The sequence below is a fragment of the Homo sapiens genome, chromosome 4 (assembly GCF_000001405.40).
Source record: "Homo sapiens chromosome 4, GRCh38.p14 Primary Assembly".
Taxonomy (NCBI): domain Eukaryota; kingdom Metazoa; phylum Chordata; class Mammalia; order Primates; family Hominidae; genus Homo; species Homo sapiens.
Window position 1 is genome coordinate 183,054,415 of NC_000004.12, and position 24,682 is coordinate 183,079,096.

General features: G+C 42.3%; 1 long non-coding RNA gene across 3 annotated transcripts in view, besides 1 other annotated feature; it reads right to left on the reverse strand.

Moving 5' to 3' along the window:
- Positions 1-4,365: 4,365 nt before the first annotated feature.
- The window catches only part of LOC105377578 (uncharacterized), a 33,621-nt gene continuing 13,304 nt past the window's right edge, over positions 4,366-24,682 (reverse strand). The window contains exons 2-4 of one of the 3 annotated variants that reach the window (XR_007058410.1): positions 23,263-23,376; positions 22,822-22,938; positions 18,723-19,049 (exon numbers count right to left, since the gene is read on the reverse strand). This is a non-coding gene — a long non-coding RNA (uncharacterized LOC105377578). Of the gene's footprint in view, positions 5,111-18,722; positions 19,050-22,821; positions 22,939-23,262; positions 23,377-24,682 lie in introns of those variants that run through there. The other 2 variants (XR_001741938.2, XR_939537.2) reach the window with 2 other exon arrangements.
- Positions 10,362-10,656: an enhancer, noted in NCBI's record as "tiled region #3150; HepG2 Activating DNase matched - State 8:EnhW". NCBI's record gives its function as "activates a minimal TATA promoter and a strong SV40 promoter by Sharpr-MPRA in HepG2 cells {active_cell/tissue: HepG2}" and the evidence as "EXISTENCE:reporter gene assay evidence [ECO:0000049][PMID:27701403]".

Sequence of the window (24,682 nt, forward strand, 5' to 3'; positions counted from 1 at the left end):
AGCTGGAGAGTAAAGGGTTGCAAGATATGCATCTTGGAAAATAAAAACAAAATACACACACACAAAAAAAAACACAAAAAATGTGTTATGGTTTTTTTTTTTTTTTTTTTTTTTTGAGATGGCGTCTCACTCTGTCACCCAGGCTAGAGTGCAGTGGCATGACACGATCTCGGCTCACTGCAACCTTCGCCTCCCAGGTTTAAGCAATTCTCCTGCCTCAGCCTCCAGAGCTGAGATTACAGGTATGCACCACCATGCCCAGCTAATTTTTTTGTATTTTTCATAGAGATGGGGTTTCACCATGTTGGCCAGGCTGGTCTCAAACTCCTGACCTCAGGTGATCCGCCCACTTTGGCCTCTCCAAAAAAAGTTTTAAGATATTGATGTAGGAGAAATTCAAGAGTGAACAGACACCACCCTAGAGGAATCAACAGACAACGACGATGGAGTGAGTGCTTCCAAACCAGCGCCAGACAATGAGGCAGTGCCAGAAAACAAGTTGGCATTAGATGATCTGGCAGAAGGGTTTTGATTATTCAAGACTGCTTTTGACTTCTTTTACAACATAGACCCTTCCATGATATAGGCAATGACACTAAAACACATGATGGAAAAATGATTGGCATCATATGCAAATATTTTTAGAGAAACGAAAAAGCAAAAATGTCAGGCAGAAGTTACAATGCATTTCCATAAAATTACACCTACTGTGCCTGCCTCTCCTGCCTCCTCTTCCACCTCCTCCACCTCTTCCGTATCTGCCAACCCTGAGACAGCAAGACCAACCCCTCCTCTTTCTTCCTCTCAGCCTACTCAATGTGAAAATGAGAAGGATGAAGACCTTTATGGTGACCAACTTCCACTTAAAGACTAGTAAATATATTATCTTTTATGTTTAATTAACATGAATACATAACAGTTATACATATTTATGGGGTACATGTGATATTTTAAAACAAACAAGCAATGTGTAGTAATCAAATTAGGGTAATTAGAATATCCAAAACCTCAAATATTTATCATTTCTTTGTATTAGAAACATTATAATTCCACTGTTTTAGTCATTTTGAGATATACAATAAATTATTATTAACTATAGTCACCCTATTATGCTCCCAAATACTAGGTCTTATTCCTTCTATCTAACTGTATTTTTGTATCCATTAACTATTCCCTTTTTCTGTCCACCCTTCCCCTCCCGACCAACTACCCTTCCTAGCTTCTGGTAACCATCATTCTACTCTCTATTTCCATGAGTTTACTTTTTCTTCCAAACTCCCACAGATAAGTAAGAACATGAGATATTTGTTTTTCTGTGCCTCACTTTTTTTCACTTGACATAGTATCCTCTAGCTCCATCCATGTTGTTGCAAATGACAGGATTTCATTCTCTTTTGTGGCTGAATAATATTCCATTGTGTATATACCCCACATTTTCTTTATCCATTCATCCATTAGTGGGCACTTAGGTCGACTCCATGTCTTGTCTGTTGTGAATAGTGCTGCAATAAACCTGGGAGTACACATATCTCTTTGACATACTGATCTCCTTTCTTTTGAATATATACCTATCAGTGAGATTGCTAGATCACATGGTCATTCTATGTTTAGTTTTTTGAGGAACCTCCATACTGTTGTCCATAGTGGCTATACTAATTTACATTCCAACCAACAGTGTACAGGTGTTCCCCTTTCTCCACATCCTCTCCAGCATTTATTATTGCCTGTCTTTTGAATAAAAGCTATTTTAACTGGGGTGAGTTAATATCTTATTGTAGTTTTGATTTGCATTTCTCTGATGATTAGTGATATTAGACATTTTTTCATATACCTGTTGGCCATTTGCATGTCTTCCTTTGAGAAATGTCTAGTCAGATTGATTGCCCATTTTTAATTGGATTACTTGGGATTTTCTTCTATTGAGTTGTTTCAACTTTTTAAATATTCTGGTTAAGAATCCCTTGTCAGGCTGGGTGTGGTGGCTCACGCCTGTAATCCCAGCAATTTGGGAAGCCAAGGAGGGTGGATCATGAGGTCAAGAGATCGAGCCAACATGGTGAAACCCTGTCTCTACTAAAAATACAAAAAATTAGCTGGGCGTGGTGGCACGCACCTGTAGTCCCAGCTACTCAGGAGGCTGAGGCAGGAGGATTGCTTGAACCCGGGAGGCAGAGGTGGCAGTGAGCTGAGATCATGCCACTGCACTCCAGCCTGGTGACAAAGCAAGACTCTGTCTCAAAAAAAAAAAAAAAGTGTGTTATATTCAGGATTTTTGCTAAATGGGCAGATTATAGTTGTACTTGTCACCAGATGGGGCCAAGGATAGTGTGGGGCTGAGGAATGGGTAACTATGTGAGATGATGAATATGTTTATTAATTTTTTCCATCATAGTAACTATTTTACTATATATGTATTTTGTGGGTTTTTATTGTTGTTTTTTTGAGACAGAATCCCACTCTGTTGCCTAGGTTGGAGTGCAGTCACACAATCTCGGTTCACTGCAACCTCTGCCTCCTGGGTTCAAGGGATTCTCCTGCCTCAGCCTACCAGGTAGCTAGAACTACAAGCGCGCACCACCATGCCTGGCTAATTTTTGTATTTTTAGTAGAGATACGGTTTCACCATGTTGGCCAGGCTGGTCTCCAACTCCTGGCCTCAAGGGATCCTCCCACCTTGGTCTCCCAAAGTGCTGGGATTACAGGCGTGAGCCACTGTGCCCAGCCTATATATGTATTTTTATAACATCATGTTGTATGCCTTAAGTACACACAATAAGAAAAAAAAATTTAGATAGAAGTTTCCGGGTAGCTGTGTGGAAAAATCACCATAGCAAACATGATGGGATCCCCCTTCATGTTTCCCACACTCAGTAAAGCAGCCCTGTGCAGACAGAGCTGCTCCTCTGTGCTTTTCACTATTGCTTTGGGCGATAGAATAGCTATACATGTAGAGTTTAGCCATTAGTTATAAAGCCAGCCGGTGTAACCGTGACCAGAGTGAAGGAAAGCTGTGGCAGTTGTCCCAGAGCCACTCCTGATGCCTCCTCCCTCGCTCCCTGCAGAAGTCACCACTCGCCTGACTTTTGTGGTAGTAATTTATTTGCTCTTTATCTCCTCCATGTGTGCACTCTAAACAACAGAGAATCGCTTTGTCTATTTATGAACTTTTTAAGGAACTTTAAATAAAACCATGATGTTTATATTGCTTTGTGATTTGTTTTCTCCTTGGCATTGGTTCATCCTGGTCGTGAGTAGCTTAATTCATTCATTAGGGTTGCTATATAGTAATCGCTCTATGACCATACCATGATTGATTGATTGATTCTCTTGTTGCTCTGCTATATTTTATGACAATAACCTCCTCCAAGTCCTCTGTATTTACCACTGTGCCTCCCATCCTCTGCACCCAAAGGGTGAACATCTAGCTCTTTACATACTTTGGACATGATATATAACTTTTGTCTTTGGCACTCAAGAGAATCTACAGTTGTTTATACTTTTCTTGAAATTCTTGGAATGCCAAGAGTTGCTTCATTAGTAATAAATAATATTCTTAAAGTCATTTTTTTTTACCTTCAATCACAGCATTTATCTCAGACAAGGCCCACAGTGAGCAGTCAGCAAATTCTTGTGTATGATAATATTGATGATGCCTGGCTGGTCACCAGAAACACTTCAAAGCAGAGGTTTTTTGTTTTTTTGTTTGTTTGTTTGTTTGGTTTGTTTTGTTTCTTGAGAAAGAGTTTCACTCACGAAGTTTCACTCTTGTTGCTGAGGCTGGAGTGCAATGGCGCGATCTCAGCTCACCGCAACCTCTGCCTCCCGGGTTCAAGCCATTCTCCTGCCTCAGCCTCCCGAGTAGCTGGGATTACAGGCATGCGCCACCACGCCCGGCTAATTTTGTTATTTTTAGTAGAGACGGGGTTTCTCCATGTTGGTCAGGCTGGTCTTGAACTCCTGACCTCAGGTGATCCGCCCACCTTGGCCTCCCAAAGTGCTGGGATTACAGGCATGAGCCACCTCACCCAGCCCAAACCAGAGTTTTGAGTTAGACATAGTTAAAGCACATCTTTCTTTTCCCCATTGAATTGAATAATCAAGATTAAAGAAATTCACTTGTTCTTTTTTTAAAAGTGATAAAATATACATAACAGAAAAGTTACCATTTGAACAATTTTTAGGTATACAATCCAGTGGCATTAAGTATATTCACATTTTTTCTGCAACAATTACTACTATCCATTTCCAGAACTTTTTCATCATCCCAAACAGGAACTGTTCTTTTTAAGCACTATTAGTTCCTTTTAAGCACTAATTCCCATTCCTCCCTCCCCTCTAGCTCCTGGAAACCACTGTTCTCCTTCCTGTCTCTATGGATTTGACAATTCTAGGTACCTCATATACAGGCAGTCGTACAATATCTTGCCTTTTGTGACTGGCTCCTTTCATCACGTGATGATTTTGACTCACGAATTAAATGAAGTGTCATGAATAGTTAAAAAGTAAAATTCAAGCCCCAGATCCAATTCAGAGACCAGCCTTGCACGTGTATTCCTTTAACTTCTCCCACCTCTTGCCACAGTGCCAGGCCGGGCTCCTGTGATGCTGGTGGCTGGAGAGCTATCAATTCCAGACCCACCAGGGAGAATGAACGGGAAATCCTAGAGTTGTTTCACTGGAAGGCTGTGAAGTGGTTTCCTTAAAACTGTTAGTTGCTTTTGCCACAGTATCGTCTGATTGAATAACCATAGAGCAGTAGCATGCTTTACACTTATTTATTTATTTATTTATTTATTTATTTATTTATTTATTTTGAGACAGAATCTTGCTCTGTCACCCAGGCTGGAGTGCAGTGGTGCGATCTTGGCTCACTGCAACCTCTGCCTCCAGGGTTCAAGCAATTCTCCTGCCTCAGCCTCCCAAGTAGCTGGGATTACAGGTGCGCACCACCACGCCCAGGAGTTTTTGTATTTTTAGTACAGATGGGGTTTCACCATATTGGCCAGGCTGGTCTCAAACTCCTGACCTCAGGTGATCTGCTCACCTCAGCCTCCCAAAGTGCTGGGATTACAGGCGTGAGCCACTGCGCCGGTCTGCTTTTCTTTTTTAACTGTGAAATACATCAAGGACAGAGAAGAATACGTGAAATATATGTGCAGCTAAAAAGAGTCATAAAGTGAACATCCACCTAACAACCCAAATCAAGATATAGAACTTGGCCAGCACCCAAAAGTCCCCCGACTCCCTCTCCCACTAGAGAGAATAACCATTCATCTTGACTTTTACAAGAATAATTTCCTTGCTTTTCTTTGCAGTTCTACCATCCATGAATGCAAGCTTTGCTCACTTTTGAATTTTATGTAAGTAGAATTTTATTGTATGTATTATTTTGTGACCTGCTTTTTTCTTTTTAATTATGGTAAAATATATACAACAAAGTGGTTACCCTCTGAACCATTTTAAAATGTACAGTCCAGTTACATTAAGTGCAATCACCTTATTATGGACTTATCACCACCATCCAGCCACAGAACTCTTTTTGTCTTTTGCAAAACTGAAACTTTGTGACCATTACACAACTCCCCTCCACAGCCCCGAGCAACCACAATTCTACTTTCTGTCTCTGAATTTGCCTATTTCTAGGTACCTCAAATTAGTGGAATTAAAGTATATGTCCTTTTGTGACTGGCTTATTTCACTTAGCATAATGTCCTCAGAGTTCATCCATGTTGTAGCATATGTCAGAATGTATTTCCTTTTTAAAGAAGAAACATATTCCATTGTATGTATATATATATATATGTGTGTGTGTCACATTTTCTTTTCTCTTTTTTTTTTTTTTTTGAGACAGAGTTTCACTCTTGTCGCCCAGGCTGGAGTGCTATGGCGTGATCTCGGCTCACCGCAACCTCCACCTTCCAGGTTCAAGCGATTCTCCTGCCTCAGCCTCACAAGTAGCTGGGATTACAGGCATGCGCCACCACGTCCTGCTAATTTTGTATGTTTAGTAGAGATGGGGTTTCTCCATGCTGGTCAGGCTGTTCTCAAACTCCCGACAGGTGATCTGCCCACCTTGCCTCCCAAAGTGCTGGGATTACAGGTGTGAGCCACCACACCCGGCCCACATTTTATTACTTTTTTTTTTTTTTTTTTTTGAGATAGGGGTCTCATTCTGACGCCCAGGCTGGAGTGAAGTGGCACGATCTCGGCTCACTGCAGCCTCCACCTCCTGAATTCAAGCAATCCTCCCTCCTCAGCCCCTTGAGTAGTTGGGACCACAGGTGTGTGCCACCATGCCGGGCTAATTTTTGTAGTTTTTGTACAGATGGGGTTTCGCCATGCTGCCCAGGCTGGCCTCAAACTCTGGGCCTCAAGCGATCCGCCTGCTTCAGCCTACCGAAGTGCTGGGATTGCAAGGGTGAGCCACCGCACCCCGCTCACATTTTCTTTATCCATCCATCCCTCGGTGCTTGGTTGCTTCCTCCTTTTGGCTATTGTGAACAAAGCTGCTATGAACCTTGGCGTACAGATATCTCTTTGAATATCTGCTTTCAGTTCTTTTGGATATATACCCAGAAGTGGAATTGTTGGATCATATGATAGTTCTATTTTTAATTTTTTGAGGAACTGCCATGTTTTCTACAGTAGCCACGCCATTTTACATTCCCATTAACAGGCACAAGGATTTCAATCTCTCCACATATCTGCCAACGCTTGTTATTAGCTGTTTTTTTTTTTTAATAGTAGCCAACCTAATGGATGTGATGTGTATGTATCTCATTGTGGTTTTGAGTTGCATTTTCTTTTTTCTTTCTTTCTTTTTTAGAGATGAGGTTTTGCTATGTTGCCCAGGCTGGAGTGCAGTAGCTATTCACAGGCACAATCATAGTGCACTGCAGTCTCAAGCTCTGGGCCTCAAGGGATCCTCCTGCCTCAGTCTCCTGAGTAGCTGGGAGTACAGGCTCATGGCAGCATGCCCAGCTTTGATTTGCATTTCCTTAATGATTAGTGATGTTGACCATCTTTTTGTGTGCTTATTGGTGGTTTATATGTTTTCTTTGGGGAAATGTCTATTCACTCATTTTTAAAACTGGTTGTTTGTTTGCTTTTTGTTGCTGTGTTTTCATTCTTTATATATTCTGGAAGTGAACCCCTTATCAGACATATGATTTGCAAATAATTCTTTCATTCCATAGGTGGCCTTTTCACTTTGTTAACTATGTCCTTTGATGCACAGAAGTTTTAAGTGTTTGGTGTAGTTCACCTAGCTAATTTTTGTTTTGTTGTCTATGCTTTTAGTGTTAATACAAAAAGTCATTGCCAAATCCAGTGTCATGGAGCTTTTCTCCTATATTTTCATCTAGGAATTTTATAGTTTTAGGTCTTATACTTAAGTTTCAAATTAATTTTTATATACAGTGTAAGGTAAGGATTCATCTTCATTTTTTTTTTTTTGGCATGACAATATCCAATTCTTCCAATACTATTTGTTGAAGAGACTGTCTTTTCCCCAGGTATTGGCACCCTGTTGAAAAACATCTGACCATATATGGGAGGGTTTATTTCTGGATTCTCTATTCTATTCCATTGGCCTACATGTGTGTCTTTATGCCAGTTACCACACTGTTTTGATTATGATAGCTTTGTGGTAAGTTTTGAAATTAGGATGTTTGAGACCTCCAACTTTGTTCTTCTTTTTCACCATTGTTTTGGCTATTTGGAGGTCCTTGAGATTCTATATGAATTTGAGGGCTATAAGAATGTAACCTGCTTCTTTTTCTCAAATTAAGCTTGTGAGTTTCTCCCAAGTTGCACATTGTGGTAGTTCATTTATTTCCACAGTCATATTTATCCAGTCTACTCTTGTTGAACATTTGGAACCTTTCCACTGGGGCTACTAAGAACAGTGCTGCTATATACATCCCTACATATATTTTCCGGCATGGTTGTGTAACAGTTTCTCTAGGGTATATCCATAAGAGTCGAATTTGTATGTTTATCTGCAACTCTATAGAATATTCCCCTACTATTTTCCAAATGGTTGATACCTGTTTATGGCATATAAGATTCCATTGCTCCACCTTTTTATGTATTCACCTGCTATGGTTTAAATGTTCCCTCCAAAGCTCACCTTGAAGTTTAATTGCCATTGTAACAGTGTTGGGAGCTAGAACCTTTAAGAATTGATTAGGTCACAATGGCGGGGAATGGATTAATGCCATTATCATGGAAGTGGGTTAGTTATGGTGGGAGTTCAGCCCCCTTTCTCTTTGCCTCGTATGCTCACTTGCCCTTCTTCCCTTCTGCCATCTTACGATGCATCTGGAACTCCTTCACCAGACATGACCCCTTGAACTTGGACTTTCCAGCCTCCAGAACCATAAGCCAAGTAAATCTCTTTTCTTTAAAAATTACCCAATCTGTGGTATTCTGTGATAGCAGCAGAAAACAGACTAAGGCATCACCAAATTTTGTTTTTTATCACAATAAAAAATATTAGAAGCAACTCAAATAGCTATCAATGGGCAGTTAGCTAAATAAATTATTACAGAGCCATACAGCAGAATATTTTACAGCCATTAAAAGTGACAAGAACAGCTAACCTTTATTATCTAGGCACCAGGCTCTGTTCTAAGTGCTTTCCATATATCATCTAGTTTGATTCTTACAATGACTCCATGAGGTAAATGTTACTATTCTGCCCATGTTACAGGTGAAGAAACTGAGACACAAAGATATTAAACTACTTCATTGGGTGGGGTGCAGTGGCACATGCCTGTAATCTCAGCACTTTGGGGGGCCGAGGGGGGTGGATCACGAAGTCAGGAGTTTGAGACAAGCCTGGCCAGCATGGTGAAACCCCATCTCTACTAAAAATACAAAAAATTAGCCAGGCATGGTGGTGCATGCCTGTAGTCCCAGCTACTCAGGAGGCTGAGGCAGGAAAATTGCTCGAACCCGGGAGGCAGAGGTTGCAGTGAGCCAAGATCGCACCACTGCACTCCAGCCTGGGCGACAGAGCGAGACTCCATCTCAAAAAAAAAAAAAATTACTTCCTCAACTTCACATAGCTGATAAATAGAACAGTCAGGATTAAAACCCAGCCAAGCTGATTCTGTAGCTATTATTAAATGGTCCAAAATAAAATTTAGAAATGACATAAAAATAATCAAGAAAACCAGAACTAGGCAAATCCTGTTAGTCTTAAAGCTATCTAACCTTCATATGAAATTTTGTGGATTTCTTTAGACTGGATTTCAGAAAAAGAAATACAGAATTTTTCCCATGGTCACTCTTCTGAGGCACAGTCAAAAGTGCTAGGTCATTAAAAGACCTACTAAAAGTTGAAATATTGACAGAAATATCTATATTCCTCATACATGACACATAGCCATTCAAAATCCATTTTGCTTGCAGAATACTCAAAATGTATTTATGTATTTTCAATCAACTCCAGGATTTGGTAGTTTTTAGAATTTTAAAGAGTCAGTTCCTATTTTAGAATATCTTTCTCTGCAAATGTCCACTCCTCTTGCCCTATCACCTCTTCCCCTCAGCTGATAGCCTCGTGTCCTGTTTCATAGAGACAGGCAGTAACCACCGTGTGAAGCCCACCCCAACTTTCTGTCACCGAAACCAGAAGCCACCCAGATCCAAGGCCAAGCCCTTCTCCTTCCCTTAGAGGGAGTGTCCCTCCTGATAGTGTCGTCCCATGAGCCCTCAACCCCATCTCTGCACCCTGTCTCAGGAAGTTCAGTGCACCAATTATCCCCTGTACTCCTCCTCTCAATTTGGCCTTTCCCAGAATCACATAATCATGCTCTGACAGCTCCCACCTTAGCAAACAAACAAACAAGTAAACACAAGCACAAGTATCCAAACAACAAATCAGACATCTGGTCAAGATGGTGCAATGAATTTATGCTTTAAAGCACTCCTCTTCTTAAAACTCAGTCATGAGAGATAAAATATAAAAATAGAAACCAGACTCAAAAAGAAAACAAAACAAAAATCTCTATCTCTTTGCACTGGAAATAGAACAGAACTGCAAAGCAAGGCCAGATGGGCTCCAGCTCCAGAGGAGAACAGTATGGTTGGGATTGATTCCGGTGTGATAAAGGGGTGAAGCCAGGCTCAATAACAAGGCCAGGACCTGAGGTGGAGCTTCCCTAGCATGTGAAAAGGGGTGGAAAAAACTGTTCCTGCACACTGTATTAACCACATCTTTCATTTTCTGTATTCTGATGCTTTGGACATCCAGGGCCTGGTTGACCCTGGAGGGACTGCTCCTCCCAGGGTAAGCCAGTTTTTAGAGATAGTAAACAACTCATCCACAAGCATGTTTTTCAAATACCAACGAACCAGTCCAGAGCCCAACCACCTCCTGTATTGGGCTCACATACTCTGAGCTAGTATCCCCTTGCTCTAATCACCACAGGACCAGGTGCCAGGCAACTAGGGCCAGTCACTGTGTCCAGAGTCCACTGAGATGATTCAAGCCAGCCATCCTAAGCCTGTTTACTCGGCCTTGCCTGTTTGTTCCTGTGGAAACTACAGTAAAGACTCTGCCCAGCTAAGCGCGGTGGCTCACGCCTATAATCCCAGCACTTTGGGAGGCCGAGGCAGGCAGATCACGATGTCAAGAGATCGAGACCAACCTGGCCAACATGGTGAAACCCCGTCTCTACTAAAAATACAAAAATTAGCCAGGCGTGGTGGCGGGTGCCTGTAATCCCAGTTACTCAGGAGGCTGAGGCAGGAGAATTGTTTGAACCCGGGAGGCAGAGGTTGCAGTAAGCCGAGATTGTGCCACTGCACTCCAGCCTGGCCACAGAGCGAGACTCCAACTCAAAAAAAAAAAAAAAAAAAAAAAAAAAAAGACTCTGCCCACAGTTCCCACTCTCTTCCTCTTCCTCCTGAGCAACTTGGTTTCCCTTATAGCCCTGCCTGGCATGGTGTGCCCTTTTTCTCCTGGGAACTGTAAGTAACAAGCTCTCTTTGCAATGTCAGTCCTCTCCTGATATGTTGGCCTTACAATACCTCGAATTTTCTACTAATAGACTATATTTTAAAACAAACACAACCTAGGGCTAAATATTTTAGCAAATAGCAGACCTAAGGCATGGATGGTCACGGAAACCCTTCATGACCAAGTATTATGGCTTGAGTTGTGTCCTCCAAAAAGATGCCTTGAAGTCTTAACCCCTTAACAGTCAAAGACTGTTAATGGTCTTTGCAGATGTAATGAAGTTAATATGAAGTTGTTAGGATAGGTCCTAATCCAGTATGACTAGTGTCCTTATAAGAAGAGAAGAGAGGCCAGGTGAGGTGGCTCATGCTGGTAATCCCAGCATTTTGGGTGGCCAAGGCAGGAGGATTGCTTGAGCCCAGGAGTTCCAGACCAGCTTGAGCAACATAAAAAGACCCCATCTTTACCAAAAAAAAAAAAAAAAAAAGGGAAGAGACACAGACACACTGAGAAAGACAGCCATGTGAAGATAAAGGCAGAGATTGGAGAGATGCTGCCATAAACTAAGGAAAGCCTGGGGACCCCAGAGGCCAGTTTACAGAACACTGAAATAACGGAAGGCAGTTCCTAGAAAGGCCAGGACAGATCCTCCCCTGGAGCATTCTGAGGAAGCGTGGCCCTGCAGACACCTTAATTTCAGACTTCTGGCCTCCAGACCTGTGAGACAATAAATTTTTGTTGTTTTAAACCACTCAGTTTGTGGTAATTTGTTACAGTAGCTCAAAAAAAATGAATGCACCAAGCATTGACCAAGCAGAAGGATTAGATGTGCATTATGGTTTGAATTGTATCTCCCCAAAATTAATACATTGAAGTTCTACTCCCCAGTACCTCAGAATGGGACTGTATTTGGAGATAGGGCCTTTAAAGAGATAATTAAATTAAAATCAGGACATTAGGTTGGGTCCTAATCCAATATGACTGATGTCCTTAAAAAAGTGGAAATCAGGGCCAGGCGTGGTCATTCACACCTGTAATCCCAGCACTTTGGGAGGCCCAGGCAGGCAGATCACGAGGCCAAGAGATCGAGACCATCCTGGCCAATATGGTGAAACCCTGCCTCTACTAAAAATACAAAAATTAGCTGGGCGTGGTGGCGCGTGCCTGTAGTCCCAGCTACTCGGGAGGCTGAGGCAGGAGAATCGCTTGAACCTGGGAGGTGGAGGTTGCAGTGAGCCAAGATCACACCACTGCACTCCAGCCTGGTGAAAGAGCAAGACTCCATCTCAAAAACATCCCCCACCCAGAAAAAAATGGAAATCAGGTCACAGACATGCACAGAGGAAGGCATTGTGTAGACACAGGAAAAAGACAGCATCTACAAGCCAAGGAGACCTCGAGAGAAACCAATCCCTCCAGCACCTTGATCTTGGACTTCCAGTCTCCAGAATTGTACAAAAATAAGTTTCTGTTGTTTAAGTAACTCAGTCTGTGGTACTTCGTTAAGGTAGCCTAGGAAACTAAGACAATGTGCAACTCAATATCACTACAACACAAGAGCCCCAGAATGCCACTATAAGACTAAAAACAGGCTGGGCACAGTGGCTCATGCCTGTAATCCCAGCACTTTGGGAGGCCAAGGTGGGTGGATCACAAGGTCAGGAGTTTGACACCAGCCTGGCCAAGATGGTGAAACCCCGTCTCTACTAAAAATACAAAAATTAGCCAGATGTGGTTGCAGGCACCTGTAATCCCAGCTACTCAGGAGGGTGAGGCAGGAGAATTGCCTGAATCAGGGAGGCAGAGGTTGCAGTGAGCCAAGATCGCACCATTGTACTCCAGCCTGGGTGACAGAGTGAGACGCCAACTCAAAAAAAAAAAAAGACTAGAAACACTTTTGTGTTGGGGATTGGGGGCCTTGAAGCCAAGTGGAAACATCTGAGTAAGATAGAGAACGATCAGTTAACAAATGTAAAAGATAGTTGATGGCCAGGTGCAGTGGCTCATGCCTGTAATCCCAGCACTTTGGGAGGCTGAGATAGGTGATTGCTTAAGCCCAAGATTCAAGACCAGCCTTGGCAACATGCCAAGACTCTGTCTTTACAAAATTAAAAATTTTTAAAAGATAGTTCAGAAGCTCCAACAAACATTTCCAGAAGAAAACGGAAAGAATGGCAGGGAAACAACATTTGAATAGCCAAAAACTGCAAGTGTGAGGTGACTGCACATTGAGAGTGAACTCTGAGCAACAAGCAAGATTAGGATGAATTCCCATGGAGACACATTCGATGAAATTAAACAACAAGAAGAGAAGGAGTAAGTCTCAAAAGCTATCAAAGATAAAAGACAGATTATTTACAAAAGATTAATCATTAAATTGGCAGCAAGAATAGATAGATGCCAGAATAAAATAGTCATATATTTAAAGGACTGAAGGAAAATAACTGTCAAATCACAATTTTGTGTCCAGCTTAAGTTTCACACAATTATGAGGGCAAATTAAGGATATTTTCAGACATGTACCAAAAGAAACATTGAAAGAGGTGCTTCAGCAGGAAGAAATCTGATCCCAGGAGAAAAACGTGAGTTACAAGAAACAAAAGTGAACACAAAATTTGATAGACTATGTCAGTAAATGTAACTGATTTGTAAATAATTAATATATTTGAGTTTTTAAAAAATCCAACAGACTGTTTTCTGGCAATCAGACAAAACTGATTCTAAATCCATACGGAGAAAACAAACACATCTGACCTTTGTTGTCTGGTAATGATGTGCTATTTCCACCAACCTTCCACCCGAAAACAACTAAAAATGCTAAATAAAATATTTTTAAAATCCTCATCTGATCATGAGGAATTACCCTGCAAATGTTGGAGGAGAAACAGAAACCCAGAATGGTATGTGGAGTATGAAGGCTACATTTGCCCAAAGGCTATCTGTGGATCCTAACAATTGTGAATTTTCATTTTGAAGCTGAAGAGGACAAAGGGAAAAGAAAGGAAGCCCTGGGTCTGAACAAGGTGGAGGCTAAGAAGAGAGTTATATTCTCAGGAGAGGGCTCATCCTCCCTGAGATGAGCAGCCCAGGTTTATGTTACCTGAGAAATCCCAGAGGACCTGAAGCCAACAACATGGTGTAAGGTGCTCCTGGGCCAGTGGTATTTCCAGGTGCCTAGAAGAAGCAAATGAACATCTTTTTTGCAGAAAACCTTCATCTCAGATCCCAGGGAAAACCCCTTAACTAATAGTTTAATGATAGTGACGAACACACAGTCAAAGATAACCAGGAACACAAGGAAATAAGGCACCATGAATGAGAACAACAGAAATAACAGACCTGTTAGTCTGCTGAAAAAAGCAGACACCACGATGGGGTTAAATGAGAAAGAGATTTATTACGGGAAACACCTAATACTTCTCGAATGCAGGAAATGAAGGAAAATGGGCATAAGCCAGAGAAGATGGGGAGAGCCATCAGACTGTGACGCAGGTGAAGGAGAAAGGGAAGGAAGGAGCGGGGGATAGAAGAGTCTTACCCTGCAGGTACAGTTCTAAAAGAGCTTGTCAAGGCCGATGGGAAACCCTGAGCCAAAGGTGCCCATCAGAGGAGTTTTGTGTTTCCCAGGGATAGACCCAGCTTAGCATCCCTGCCCTGCTTGGGCATTAGCTGGGAGCAGCTGAGGCCGTCGGTCAGTTATACTCCCTGAAACTGGAGACCTGAGAGAAGTATCTCCCAGCCACCACCCCTTGTACTGTCCTGCACTTCTCCATATGGGTTCAGGGAGGAGTTCCTCTTTGGTTATTGTGGGAATTTATTCTTAACAAGCGGAAACCTAAAAGAGGAGTGTCAGGGGAATGACGCCTCTATCACTGCAGCTGATTTCAGGGCTGCAGCTGTTACACCTCTCCCCAGTTGGGATTCGCCTCATCTTCAGCAATGATCTCAGCAGCTCTTGATGGCTCACCTGGTGGTGTGAACCAACTCTTCATTCCTGAGAGGTGTGAGCCCTTGATGATCACACTCTCCTAAGGCTGGGCTTGTTGCATGTGTCCATTCACAATTACAGCAGGGCAAGGGCGTACCAGGATGCACCCCAGCGGATCATGTGGGTTCCATTCATTCTGCTCCACTGCAGGAGACAGGGCCCCTTTGTAAGTTACCACTGAGCCTCCTACAGTTAACCATGAATAATGTGTTAAGGGTCCCAGTTTCTCATTATCTCTCTGCACGGCATCAATACAACGTAGCAGTAACTAGCCACTCTGCTGTCTTGGTAGGCATGGCTTCCTGCCCCCACCTCCAAATCTTTTGAATGCCTGCGTCTCTACCACGGCCCTTTCACTGGGACATTTTTTCACATCATTACTGGTGAAATCTCTAGTAATTAAGCCTCACTTTGTGCCAGGGACTATTCACACCCCACCTACCAACCAGGATAGCATCGTCTTTGCCCACCTGGCAGTGTGTGAAGCAACCTCAAATCCCCATTTATCATCTGTTTTCTTCAATTATTCCTTGTACCCTTTATGTTGGTCCAGGTTCTACAAGAGGCAGACACCAAGACAGAATTAGACATGCAAGAATTTATTAGGGGAATGCCTGTCCCGGAAAGTGGGTAGGCAGCCAAGGGAATTGTGGAATAGTGGAGAGTTATATTACACTGCCGTTGTGGTCCCTGTGCAGCAGAGAGGGAACAAGGAAGGCCAGGAGGAAGAATCTTGAGCTGCAATGCAGTTCTAAGGAAGTTCAGTAAGACTGATGGTGAGTCCTTGAGCCAAAACACCTATCAGAAGAATCCCACGTCTCCCAGAAACAGGCTTTGGGCACAGTGGCTCACACCTGTAATCCCAGCACTTTGGGAGGCTCAGGCAGGAAGATCACTTGAGGCTAGGCCTTCTAGACCAGCCTGGGCAACACAGCAAGCCACCATCTTTACAAAAAAAAAAATCGTGTTTTAATTAGCTGGTATATTAGTCTGTTCTTGCAGTGCTATAAAGAACTACCTGAGACTGGGTAATTTATAAAGAAAAGAAGTTCGATTGGCTCATGGTTCCACAGGCTGTACAGGAAGCATGGCTGGGGAGGCTTCAGGAGATACACGATCATGGTGGAAGGTGAAGGGGAAGGAGGCATGTCCCACATGGCTGCAGTGGGACAAAGAAAGTGAAGGGGGAGGTGCTACACACTTTTAGACAAACAGATCTCACTCACTATCACACTATCACGAGATCATCAAGGGGAAAATCTGCCCCCATGATGCAATCACCTCCCACCAGGCCCTTCCTCCAACACTGGGGATTACATTTGACATGAGATTTGAGCAGGGACACAAATCCAAACCATATCAGCTGGGCATGGTGTCATGCACCTGTAGTTACAGCTACTTGGGAGGCTGAGGGAGGAGGTTGAGACTGCAGTGATCTATGATCACACCACTGCATTCCAGCCTGGGCAAAAATAAACAAAAACAAACAAAGAAACAAAAGAAACAGGCCTTCCTCAGAGTCCTTGCTGTGCCCAGCCACCTGTTTTTACGTATTAAGAAATAAAAGACTACCTTGAAAAATATCTCTGGGAGCCAGGCCCTGTGGTTCATGCCTGTAATCCCAGCACTTAGGAGGCTGAGGGGAGAGGATTGCTTGAGGCCAGAAGTTTGAGACCAGCCTGGGCAACATAATGAGACTCTGTCTTCACACACACACACACACACACACACACAAACATAAATAAAATTAGCCAGGTACAGTGGCATGTGCCTATAGTCCAAGCTACTTGGGAAGCTGAGGTGGGAGGATTGCTTGAGCTCAGGAGGTCGAGGATGCAGTAAACTATGATCTCACCACTGCCTTCCAGCCTGGGCAGCAGAGCAAGACCCTATCTCAAAAAAGAAAAAGAAAAGAAAAGAAAAGAAAAGAAAATGTCTTTGGGGAATCAGGAACTATAAAATTACCCTAACAAACAAATAGAACTCCAAAAAGCAAACAACCCTATAACTAAAATTAATTACTCAAATATAGTTTAACAGCAGGCTAGACAGAGCTAAAGAGAAAATTGGTGAACTGGATGTTGGTCAGAAGAAATTATGTAGAATGTAGCACAGAGGACAAAAAATATAGAAAAGAGGTTAAAAAACATTGATGATAAAATAAGAAGGTCTAATATACATTTAATAAGTGTCCTAAAAAGAGAGGAGAAAAAATAACTAAAAGACAATATTTGAAATGATAATAACTAATAACTTACAAGAAAGACAAATCCACAGATTTAAGAAACTTATCAAATCCTAAGCAGGGGAGAAAATCTACAACTAGATACATGCAGTGGAACTAAAACAAAACAAAACAAACAAAAACATGAAACAATACAATTATTTTAAAGGTGCAAAGACAAATTTTCAAAGCAGCCAGAGGGGGAAAAAACTAATTACCTTAGAGGGAGTTAAAACAGTCAGACTGTGTGAGACCTAATTCTTTAACAGCCACAGTGGAAACCGGAAGACAAAGAATGAGATTTTCAATGTGCTAAGAGAAAATAATTGTCAATTTGAAATTATTTCAGGAAGGAAACAAAGAAAGACATTTTCAGACAAAGAAGACAAAGAGTTTACGACCAGGAGAAGCTTGCTAAAGGGAATTCTAAGGGGCATATTTTAAAAAAAGAAAAATGATCCCATATGGAGAGCCAGAAATGATGAAGGAATGAAGAACACAGGAAGCTCTAAATGTGTTGATAAATCTAACAAACATTGACTGTATAAAACAAAAATAATGATGTCTTTGGGGATTAAAAAATAAATGATAGAAATGTAATTAGTTTAATCTCTATGGAGGGAAATTTAGCATTACTGTACTTATCAAAATTACAAATGTACATATCCTTTGATTTAGCAATTCCACAAAGAATTGTAGGAATTTATTTGAAGGTTGAGTATTTCTTATTGTAATTAGTCTTCACATTGTTTTGACTGCAGGCAAGGATATTTCAGATATGTGAGCGCTTACTGGAACCAACGAAATTCTTAAGTTGTATAATTCTTCCAAATTCTTTGATAATTCCTGGTTCAATCTGTGTTTACCCCCACTAAATTTATGACTACTTCTGTTTCTAAATGCTTTACAATTGAATCACAATTAAATGTAATGAGAAGATCATATTTAAAACTCCATGATTAATTATTCTATAAAATAACACTTTTTTTCTATTATAAAGAAAATAGCCTCTAATTTATCTGTTTTTCAAGTGCAGAAAATCGTCATGTTGAAGTGGACTGCATTGCAAAAGCTTTTAAGCTGCTCGTGTGAACTCTGAATAAATTTTCCCTAAAAACCATTTTATTAAAAATGATTGTATTCACAAATAATCTTAAGAAAGTTGGTTTAACCCACAATGAGTTGAAATGGTCCACACTTGTGATGAAAAATAGTAAAAAGCAACATTTGTTATTTCCAGAAAATTGAAAATGGATAAGAACAAGAATCAATCTTTTTGTTCAATGTCGGTGCCTCAGGAAAAGTGGGTAAAAGCAATGTAGACACACAATCAGATGAGAAGACGACAAGAGCCTTCTGTAGAACTCTGGGCCCTTTTTGAGGCCTTTACGAGTTTATGGAGAAATCATGAAATGTATTATTTTCCTTTTCCTTTTCCTTGGAAAAAAATATCTAAGACCATAACACGTTTGCTTTAAAGTTGTGATTAGTGTCACTACTGCTGCACAAACAGAACTCGAGAAAGAAGAAGAGAAATCATCTTTTTTTTATTATTATTTTTTATTTTTTTTTGCGAGACAGAGTCTGGCTCTGCCGCCAGGCTGCAGTACAGTGGTGCGAGATCTTTGCTCACTGTAGCCTCCACCTTCCGGGTTCAAGCAATTCTCCTGCCTCAGCCTCCTGGGTAGCTGACATTACAGGCATGCGCCACCACGCCCAGCTAATTTTTGTATTTTTAGTAGAGATGGGGTTTCACCATGTTGGCCAGGCTGGTCTCGATTTCTTGACCTCGTGATCCGCCCGCCTTGGCCTCCCAAAGTGCTGGGATTACAGACGTGAGCACTGCGCCCGGCGAGAAATTATCATTTCTAAGGAAGCCAAACGGGTTAAGAGAGGCAAGGAGGAAGAGGAGGGTTTAAGAGAATATGAGTGCCAACAAAGCAACTGCATGAGACTAAATAAACTGAATTATAAATGGAAAAACACAAAGGAAAAGTAGCTAGAGACAGGTCTGTCCCCTGGGTAAGGATCACAATGCCTGGCCTTCGTGAAAGCTCAATGAAGATTTATTGAACAGAGCAGAACTGAACTGCCCCCGAGAAAATCGTTTGAGGGTAGATGTTAGTTACCCATGTGGACCACCAGGTGGCAGCATGATCTCGTGACCCCTCAATTGTCCCAGGTAAAACCCGGATGGGAAAGAAGCCCATCTACCACCAGGAGATTTTTGTGGATAGATGTTCATTAGTCAAATGTTCATAATTTGGTAAGAATTTGTATGACTTTTCTCAAATCAGGTGAAGGACGGCTGAAGGAATCTTACTGATGGAATTTGGGTCCCAAACTCCCTACCTATTTTAACCTGAAGTCATTATTCTTCAAAAATTACCCAAAAAACTACATTGCTACATTTCTAACCATTAATATCAAGTTAAAAACACATGGAATGTGTGAGCTAGCAATAATCTAGATGACCGACATTCAGATAGAACTATTGCTACTACATGTTGCCTTTTGCTTTTTATAGCTGTGAATTGACCTATTTCCCAAAAATACAATTAGTCCAAGCTTTATTATTTCAGGCTTATTCATACATGAATATTCCTCTGAGCATTACTAAAATAAAAACCAAGTAAAACAGATTAAAAACTATATTTAATGGTCCCCAAAGAAACCCTTAAAAAAAATCTTCTCTCTGCCCATACTGAAGAATGATACCAAAATAGTTTGAAAGTTTAAAGCAAATAATTAGAAAGTAAAACAAAATGTTCTTAGGCTATGTTGATGGAGATCTGGCTAAACCCTTGAGAAGACAGGAAACGTAACTGAGAAATACGCTGTTCTCCTTTATCTAAGTGTGATTAACTACAATGCTTGCTCTGCAAGGTCGGGATCACTTTTCATGAATTCTTTCTCCGAGTGCGTCTTGCAGGGTCAGGCCCTCCCCTCCTGAACTCCATGGTTGACAATGGATCCACTGGTACAGTTCTGCTTCTCTCCTGGATGTGGAAAACCCCAAAATTGCACTCCTCACCCAGATCTCTTTTCCACCTACGCTCAGCACTCTGTTTACTGAACATTTGCAATGGTGAACCTGAGGGTCTGGAAGCCCCCAGGAAGAAAAGTAAAGTGAGATTCCATTTCATTGCCATTACTGCTAAGGGTTATTCACGCAAGAATTCCAACAATTTACATAAGGATCATTAGCCTCACTGGAAATGCATTTCATTGCAACAGACCTGAGTCTTACATTCTTGACATTTTCCAAGGAGTGGCACTGGGCATTGGCCATCAGAAATGGCCATGGTGATTATGCAGTTTTAGAAATATGCCTAAGATACATGAGGGATGCATTCCCCCAAACCATTATCCTCAGCCCTACAGAGTGATCTGGATAAGATGTGCTGAAGCTCCATGGAGTTTAAAGTAGTATTTATTGGCCGGGGACAGTGGCTTATGTTGAGGTGGGAGGACTGCTTGAGCCCCGGAGCTCAAGGTTGCAGTGAGCTATGATTGCCCCATTGCCCACTGCACTCCAGCCCGGGGGGACATAATGAGAACCCGTCTCAAAAAAAAAAAAAAAAGCACTTACTAAAAAATCTGAATTCCCCTTTGTTTCATTCACTGTATAGGGTCTACTTTGAAGGGAAGTGTTGTAATCTACAGAAGGCAAGGGTGACCTATTAATATTTGCAGAAGATAAATGATTACTCTGATTACTATTTGTAGGATCACCAATTTACACTGATTCTGCACTAGTCTGATACGGCAGCAGTCAGTGTAAAGTGTACTAGGTGATTTTGTGGAAGCCACAATTTGTGCAAAATATATCCTCTCAAGCTGAAAAGGATGTTTAAAAGATCATGGAAATCACGAATGCCAGTGGGAGTAATTTGGGGCTTTATTTGTTAAATTAGGCAACAAAATATCAGTAAGATATTTCAAGAGGAAAATATTATTTGTAATTTAGGGGAAAAAATCCCTGAAAAATGGAGATCTGAAACCCAAGGTAGGGAAAATCATTAGGAAGAAATTGAAAAATATTAGGCAAGAGATGAATCCTGGGTCTGTGTAGCGGGGAATGGGGAAAGAGTGAAAAGTAAAGGAAACTTCGGGAAGTGAGTTATAGGGCTTAGGGGAAAGAGGGTGATAAGAGAAGGAAACAATGGTTGATTTCATAGCAGGGGTCACTAAGGCAATGATAAAGGCATTAAGGGAGGGAGGAGAAGCAGGAGGAAAAATCTGGATGAAAAGACAATGAGCTTGGTGGGGGGTATATTAGCAAGATATCCTCATGATGTCTAGCAGGCATTTGGAAAGTCTGTGTGGATTTCAGGGGAGTAAAACTAGAGCTATAGATTTGGGACTCCTGGGCATAAAGGTGGCAGTTGGATCTATGAAAATGGGCCATCAGTTCATCCTCACGGGGAAATATAGAAAGAAAAAGTGTTGAGGAAGAGCCTGGGGAATTTTACACTCTGGGGACAGAAAGTGGCGAAGGAAGCTGTGAGATGGAGATGAGGGGCATCTAGAGGGATGGGGGAATCAGAAAGGTTCAAGGGCAGAGAACCCCAGGTTGGAGCCAGTTGCAAGGACAGAGCTTGTGACTGGACAGCATATTCATTTGCTAGGGCTGCCAAAGCAAAGTACCAAGATATTAGCACCACAGGCGGGGGGGCTTACAGAACAGAAATCTATCCTCTCACAACTCTGGAGGCTAACAGTCCAAGATCAAGGTGTCAGCAGGGTCAGTTTCTTCTGAGGGCCTCTCTCCTTGGCTTGTAGGTGACCATCTTCTCCCTATATTTTCATGTGGCCTTTCTTCTGTGTGTCTGTGTCCTGATCTCTTCTTGTAAGGACATCAATCATACTGGATTAGGGCCCACCCACATGACTTCATTTGACCTTAATTACCTCTTTTTTTTTTTTCAGAGTCTGGCTCTGTTGCCCAGGCTGGAGTGCAGTAGCATGATCTCAGCTCACTGCAACCTCCACCCCCCAGGTTCAAGCAATTCTCCTGTCTCAGGCTCCCGAGTAGCCAGGATTACAGGTGCCTGCCACCATGCCCGGCTAATTTTTGTGTTTTTAGTAGAGATGGGATTTTACCATGTTGGTTAGGCTGGTCTTGAACTCCTGACCTCAGGAGATCCGCCCGCCTCAGCCTACCAAAGTGCTGGGATTACAGGCATGAGCCATGGCGCCTGGACAGTTTGACCTTAAAGGCCCTAAATTCAAAAACACAGTCACTTTCTGAGGTACTGGAGAGTAGGCTTTCAACATATGAATTTGTAGGGGGAGACACAGTTCAGCCCATACCAGGCTGTTAGATCTGGAAGTTCCCCACTGGCCAACTGAGGGATACGCATTATAATGGCAACGGTGAGCCTGTCCTCAGCACATGCTACCTGCTGGGTTCCGTGGAGAGTGCTTCACATGTATTAGCCCGTTTAACATTCACAAGCACCCTATGAAGTAGGTACTATTATCATCAGCACGTCTTTTTCCAGAGGAGGAAACAGAGGCACCAAGAGACACTTTGCCCAAAGTCACAAAGATAATAAGTGGCAGAACCCACGAGCTCGGCTTCTACACAGTGAATTTCATCAGCGATTTGTAGCTTGCTCCACCCTCAACAGATACCTGAGAAGTAATGATGTTGCTGAATTACTCAAAGGAACAGATGCATTTCCCATCAGCTGTCACTGACTGCAGCCTCTCTCTAAGGTATAAGGTGAATTCCGCAGGTAGATGTGACAGCTTGAAGAGAAAGGAAAATAAACAATAACTAATAGGTGGTTAAAGTGTCTCAGATTTAAAAAGCAAAGAGAGCAACCCTATTATGACTTCAAATATGTGTGTTTATTTAAGTTGTGTTTCTTACATTTGGGGTTGTGATTCTGGAAAGTACTGTAAAATGCAATGAGAAGGCCAGGTGCAGTGGTTCACCCCTGTAATCCCAACACTTTGGGAGGCCAAGGCAGGAGGATCGCTTGAGCCCAGGAGCTTGAGACCAGCCTGGGCAACATAGCCAGACCATGTTTTGTAAAAATACAAAAATTAGCTAGGTGTGGTGGCTCGCACCTGTAGTCCCAGCTACTGTGGTGGTGGAGGCTGGAGGATCCCTTGAGCACAGGAGTTCAAGGCTGCAGTGAGCTGTGATCGTGCCACTGTACTCCTGGGTGACAGAGTGAGGCCCTGTCTCAAAAGAAAGAAAAAACAATGCAATGAGAAAATATTTAACAATGCATTTATACACTGAAAGCCTTTTTTGTTTGTTTTTGTTTTGATTTGTTTTTTGGAGACGGAGTCTCTGTCACCCAGGCTGGAGTGCAGTGGCACTACCTCAGCTCACTACAACCTCTGCCTCCCAGATTCAAGTGATTCTCCTGCCTTAGCCTCCTGAGCACCTGGGATTACAGGCGCACACCACCACACCTGGCTAATTTTTGTATTTTTAGTAGAGACGGGGTTTCACCATGTTGGCCAGGCTGGTCTCGAACTCTTGACCTCAGGTGATCCACCTGCCTCGGCCTCCCAAAGTGCTGGGATTACAGGCGTGAGCCACCATGCCCGGCCCACTGAAAGGTTTTTTGATTTGCAATATGTAAAAGCATCTGTTAAATTCTAGATTTTCTATCGTTTTGGCTTTATTGGTTTTTAACCAGAGATGACTTTTTGAACTATTTTAACTTCAGGTTAGCCTTTAACATGAGAAAAGTGAGGAGAAAGAAACACACACAGGTACACACAGAGATGCATGCACGCACACACACACACACACACCTTCAAACATGGATACACGGAAATGAAGTGAGAGGAAAAGAAATAAAAATCAGGTTACTAAAATTAAAATTCAAACAGGACCCTCTGGTGAGAATTCCTGCGAGAAGGTAGGTAGCCTGTCACTTTTATCTAAGAGAGAAGAATTCCCAGGACAATGGCACAAAAGCTGGGAAATGGCTCTAAAATGTCTCTATCTTCACTTCTTAAATCCCTCTCCAGCGTAACTGCATGGCGCAGGAAGCCACAAAAGCCTGAAAGAAACTGCCTGAGGGTGAGTGGGGCTCTTCCGAAAAGACTGAGTGAGGGCCCCCCTCTTGGGCTAGGCCGGCGTACCCCTGCACCCGACCCCTGCAGTACCTGCAGATGGGTGTTGCTGCCGCCTTCGCTCTCCCAGCTTTGAACCACTCGTCTCTGCGTCACTTCCCGTTGGGAGCATCTGATTGGCTGAGTCCAGTTCAGAAGCACATTGGGAGCCTCTGATTTGCTGGGCTAAGTCACTTACTACCTGCATCCCCTTTCTAGTCCTCTAGCTGGAGACATTCCCCGCCTTCCACCAAGGCTCCTGCGCCAGGCGGTACCCAAACTTAGGAAAAGGGTTGAGATGTTACCGGAAAAAGGAAGTTCATTACACATTTTAAGCATGTATTTTCAGAGACACTGAAACATCTGAAGGCACAAGATTTCTAAATTAGAAACTTTAAAAGTTTCCATTTATTTG